Source organism: Homo sapiens, chromosome 2 (genome assembly GCF_000001405.40).
Source record: "Homo sapiens chromosome 2, GRCh38.p14 Primary Assembly".
Taxonomy (NCBI): Eukaryota; Metazoa; Chordata; class Mammalia; order Primates; family Hominidae; genus Homo; species Homo sapiens.
This window is the reverse complement of record NC_000002.12, coordinates 201,969,913-201,975,054: the sequence shown is the minus strand read 5'-3', so window position 1 is coordinate 201,975,054 and position 5,142 is coordinate 201,969,913. Positions and strand designations below refer to the sequence as shown.

The window sequence follows — 5,142 nt, the reverse complement described above, 5'->3', positions numbered from 1 at the left end:
TGCCCCAACTTTTCTATGTATGTACTCATCTGTCTGCCTCAGGGACAGTTTCCTCTTGTTCTTTGCTGAATCTCCATTGTCTACCCCAATGTCTAGAACTATTTGTTGCAGGGGTGAATGACATTTATGTCTCCTCCCGCCTAGTTGGAGAGATAAGGATGTTCCAATGTACAGTCCAGAGAAAAGGCAGGCATGAGGGAGGCGTTGAAGAGGCCTGGAGTCCTCAGGGAGCCTGTGGAAAGCCAGCGCTGCCTCTGCCGCCAGCCACAGGGGATGGGAGCTGCAGGGACATTTGGGAATTGGGGGTGTGAGGAGTCTACATGGATAAGGGCTCAGAGTTGGGAACAAGCAGGGTGAAAAAGATGTCTCCCTAAGGCATAGCAGTTGAAACTGATGGTATTTTGGAGGTTTTGGCAGTAGTTGCCGTTTATTCATATTTCTTAATTACTTTATTATACGCAAACATAAAGAAACGTCCTAGGGAGGCAGCTGTTCATGTCACTGTCCCCAGGCTTACTCACGAGGCATTCCAGCAGGAAATCACCTCCAAAACAACCTATGTAAGATTCTGTTACTCTCCTGTTTTCTGCAGGAAACAATTATGATTGTTTTAATAAAATCAGCTGGGCCATTTAACGTCACTTGGAGAAGAATCCTGAGAAGTTCTTCAGTTGCCAAAAGGAAGCTCCAGCTACAGGAAGGGCTCTCAGGGCTGTGCAGGGAGAGGCCTTGTCATTACCCCAAATTCAAAGGCAGCCAATGAATTATAGCCAGCCGGATAAACTTTTCTTTATCAAACTTTGCCCCTGACAGCTGTAAGTTGATTCAACTAGAACAAACTGAAACTTCTTTTTTTTTGAGGGGGAGTCTTGCTCTGTCACCCAGGCTGGAGTGCAGTGGCGCAATCTGGGCTCACTGCAAGCTCTGCCCTCCCGGGTTTACGCCATTCTCCTGCCTCAGCCTCCCGAGTAGCTGGGGCTACAGGCGCCCACCACCACGCCTATCTAATTTTTTGTATTTTTAGTAGAGACGGGGTTTCACAGTGTTAGCCAGGATCGTCTCGATTTCCTGACCTCATGATCTGCCTGCCTTGGCCTCCCAAAGTGCTGGGATTACAGGTGTGAGCCACCGCGCCCAGCCTGAAACTTCCTTTTTTTTAAAAAAAAAAAATTTAGTTTAATTTAATTCACCAAAAATTTGCAAGAATTGTGAAGAAGGTATGCTTCTGTGCCTGGGCTAGTGTGAGTGATAGCACAAAGATCTGCCAGCCACAACCTCGCCATGCCAAGAATTCATTCTGTGGTCCAAATAACACCTCTTTTGAAGAAGGAGCTTAGAGGCAACATTTCTGCAAGGTGGCAGAATATTCCCAGAAACCCATCAGGAAGACAGTGTTAGCTGTAAATAAGTTTGCCGCTTACTCACGGCCTGGCTGCCCTGAGATCTTGTCCATTGTTTTTCGGACTTCCCAGATGCTCTAGGAAGGGTGCAGTATCTGACCCCCAGACAGTGGCGTGCTGGTAAACGTTTAACAGCTGGCTGGGAGAGGGCGGAGCCGATTTGTGGCTTTGGCCATTAACATGGCATTACTACTCCCAAATTGGTAGCTGATTTCAAGCTACCAGTGTGACATCAACCATCTCACAAAATTTCCAGAAACTGAACACTCTGCTCCAGTGAGCCACCTCTAGGGATCTGTGTGTGGGAGTCAGGACTTGGGGCTCCCAAAGCATGGGTTTGTCTAGGATCACCACCCCAGCCTTCATTCCAAAGACCAGTTTCTTGTGGGCTGAACCTCCCCACACTGATGTGAGGCCTTGGTGTGGACGAGCAGGCATTGGCAGTCCCCAGCAGCCAGTTCCTTGATGGGTCTCCCAGGCCAGGCAGCCTCCTGGAATTTGCAGACGCCTGGCTGCCCTGAATGCTGACGGTGGGGGTGAGGGGTGGGGGGTGTACAGAGGGTCCCCTCCTAGGTCTGGTGGAAAACCTCAGATTGGCCTGCTTTGTGCCTGATCTTTAGCTCCATGTGCATGAGAATGGGTCAGTGGCAGGTGGCCTTGGGGTGGGCATGAATAGCAGTAATTGTCCCTGTGTCAAAAGGATGGGCCAGGAAACAGGAATGGGACTGGAGGAGGGGTGGGGGTGGGGTGCAGCTCTCAGTGAATTAGGTCTTTTCTATAGATTCCATAAGACTACATAATGAGCCGCTTTTTCTGCCTCCTGGTCGCTCAGCTACTGCTCTGACCTCCCAGGGGCCAGAGGAGGGGGTCAACCCTCCCTGTTAAACGTGCTCTGCCTTTGGTTACCTGGTGTTGCTCTGGGAGGAAGACCAGCTTCGGGAGCAGGCTGTTGGGGTCTGCTGCAGAGGGTGGAATACGTGCAGCCCAGCCGTCCTGCCTACCACACCCCTGGCAAGGAGCTGCACCTCGCTGAGCTCAGTTCCCCCATCTGTAAAGGAGACCAGAATAATCCCAGCCTCACGAGGCCATTGCCAGGACTGAGGGAAACTATGCTAATGACTGCCTAGGGTCAACTGAGTAAAGCACTCAGTTGAGGACAACCATTATGATTTTTCTGATTTCTGGCCAAGGACCCAGCACAGCCTACACCTGAAGCATGCGACTAAGAGTGTGACCCCGGGCAAGTACCTTCTCTCTCTGTCTCCCTCACTCTCCCTTCTCACTCAGGGTAGTCACGCTGTGTCCTCCCTGCCTCCCAGGGACAGGAGGATTAATGAGATAATGTGAGAAGCCGGCTGCTCTGGGGAAGAAAGGTGTTATGTACATGGAAGGTGTAATTATTATCCTGTAACTACATGAATGTTTAGACTCTACCTACTCTGGCAATTCCAAGGGGCTTTGACAAGCACGTTGTCTCAAGCTGGAAACTGATCCAAGGGGTGGGAACAGCTGAAAGCTTCTCTCTGCTTCCAGGAGACTCCAGGCACCCTGGAGCCTCCCAGAGGCGGTGCCCACGCTCCAGGCATCAGGGCCTCTGTGGGCACAGGGGGAGTGAGAGTCCCCTAAGGCTCCATACCCTGGATCCTGGGAAGGTCCCAGGATGGCTGTACAGAGCATTTGAGCTGGAATGGAAATCCAACTCAAATGAGCATAGCAATTTTGTGGCTGGCAAAGATTTTGGTGTAGGCTTTAGCAAATTGCAGTCTTACTCAGTTTATCTTGCCCTGTTCCTGGCACCTCAGTCTCCTGCTTCCCTCTGACTGTCATCACCACCAACACCATCTTTATCATCTCTTAGGAAAAAGCAAGAGGGTAGGGCCCTGGGCTGGGTGCTGGCTTTGGCTGCGTCAGAGTTTAGAATTGAAAACAGCCGTTCCCATTCTCCTCCTCAGATAGTTTCCCTCCAGAAATAGCTACCAGGAGGCTTGTGGGGTGGGCAAAAGCATGGATGTGTGCCCATGGAGGTGACTCATCACCCTCCTGGCAGCCCTGTGGGGAAGGGGGATGATTAGCTGTGAGAGAGAAAAAGGAGAAAGGGTGGAAAATTGGGTCCTAGAATGTTCTGCACCCAATCAGAAATGCAGACAGGAGATGGGGGTTAGACCCTGGATTTGCATCCTGGCTCTGCCCCTTGCCAGTCCCTTGACCTTGGCAAGTGACTTATCCTCTCTGTATCTCGAGCTCCTCTCTTGCAAAGTGTTGGTATGATGATTAAATGAGTTACCACCTAAAAAGCACCAGGGTTTGGACTGCAGTGTGCTCCATGTACATCAGTGATTCGTTAAAACTGACTGGCTGTCCCCACACCTGTAGCCCATGTGCAGAGCCCCACAACTGGGGGAGATGGAGGCCTGAGCGTACCCCTGGGGGCCCTTCTGAGAAATAGCGCTCAGAAGACAGAGATGCTCCTGAACTTGAGGCCATCCCCTTTCTCCCTCTGTCTTAGTCTGTTGGAGCTGCTATGACAAAATACCTTAGACTAAGTAATTTATAAACAACAGGAATCTATTACTTACAGTTCTGAAAGCTGGGAAGTCCAAGATCAAGATCAAATGATGCCGATCTACAGGTGTAGCTTTGGTGTCTGGTGAGGGCTCTCTGCTTCACAGATGGCTCCTTACTGTGCAGTCTTCACATGGAGGAAAGGGCGAGCGAGTGCCCTCAGGCCTCTTTTGTAAGGGCACTAATCCCATTCCTAAGGGCTCCACCCTCATGACCCAATCACCTTGTAAAGGCCCCACCTCCTAATACCATCGCCTTGGGGTTGGGTTTCAACATATGAATTTGGTGGGAGTACACAAACATTCAGACCAGAGCACCCTCTAGCAGCCAGAAGGAGTTCATAGGGACCCTACATAAAGGGAGGTGGGAAAAACCAGTCTCTTAGAAAAGACCCTGAATGAAGTGACTCATCGGTAGACTGTGGAATCCAGGTTTATGAAATCATGGTGATGGCGATGGTGATGGTGATGAAGATGATGACAGTAATGATTCTGTACAACCTTTAACTTTTAAAACTGTTTTTACAGTTTCCTAGTTAGGAAATTAGTGGGATTGGGCTAGATAAATGTTGGGGTCCCTCTTCCAACGTCCAGCTTTCTCATTCTGTAGTTCTATCTTGAAGCACACAAGAGAAGTTCTTAACTAGGGACAAGGTTACGAGGTGGACTTGCCTCCCCCAGCTCTCTCATCCCACCGGACCCCTCATTGGAAGCTGGTCGCTCCTTCAGATGCCTGTGGATGGATGAAGCTGCAGCGTGTGCCTTGCATAAGGGGATGTGGTTTCTGGGGAGCTGTACTGAGGGTGTTTTGACAGGGTAAGGATGAAGAAATCGCACATTTGGGGTCATCCTGGAGCTGTGGGGGTGGGAGAGGGTGTATGTATAAAGCATTTATTTAAAACACTCAGTGGGAAACTCACAGGCCGCTTAACAAGAGTATTTGGATGCTGGGAAAATGTGAGTCATCGAGCTTCCATGATGGATGGAAACATCCCTTCCAGACAACCTAAATTCTTTTTCCTGTGGTTCTATGCTCACCAAACAGCCCGTGGCTCCGTATTGGGAAAGAGAGGTTCTGACATGTGTGCCTAGTCTGCCCTGCCTCTGGGAGTAGCAACCTGGAATTTCAGTGGGCTTAGGTCTCTCAGGAAAAAAACCACTTCTGGATGATTGGACCCTCC

The 5,142-nt window shown here is 50.1% G+C and overlaps 2 annotated features.

Moving 5' to 3' along the window:
• Positions 441-1,345: an enhancer, noted in NCBI's record as "NANOG-H3K27ac-H3K4me1 hESC enhancer chr2:202838433-202839337 (GRCh37/hg19 assembly coordinates)". NCBI's record gives its function as "activates a minimal SCP1, AML or CMV promoter by ChIP-STARR-seq in primed H9 embryonic stem cells {active_cell/tissue: H9 hESC(primed)}" and the evidence as "EXISTENCE:reporter gene assay evidence [ECO:0000049][PMID:30033119]".
• Positions 4,556-4,754: a silencer, noted in NCBI's record as "fragment chr2:202835024-202835222 (GRCh37/hg19 assembly coordinates)". NCBI's record gives its function as "represses an EF-1alpha promoter that drives an FKBP-Casp9 reporter gene in an ReSE screen in phorbol 12-myristate 13-acetate-treated (for megakaryocytic differentiation) K562 erythroleukemia cells {active_cell/tissue: K562(+PMA)}" and the evidence as "EXISTENCE:reporter gene assay evidence [ECO:0000049][PMID:32094911]".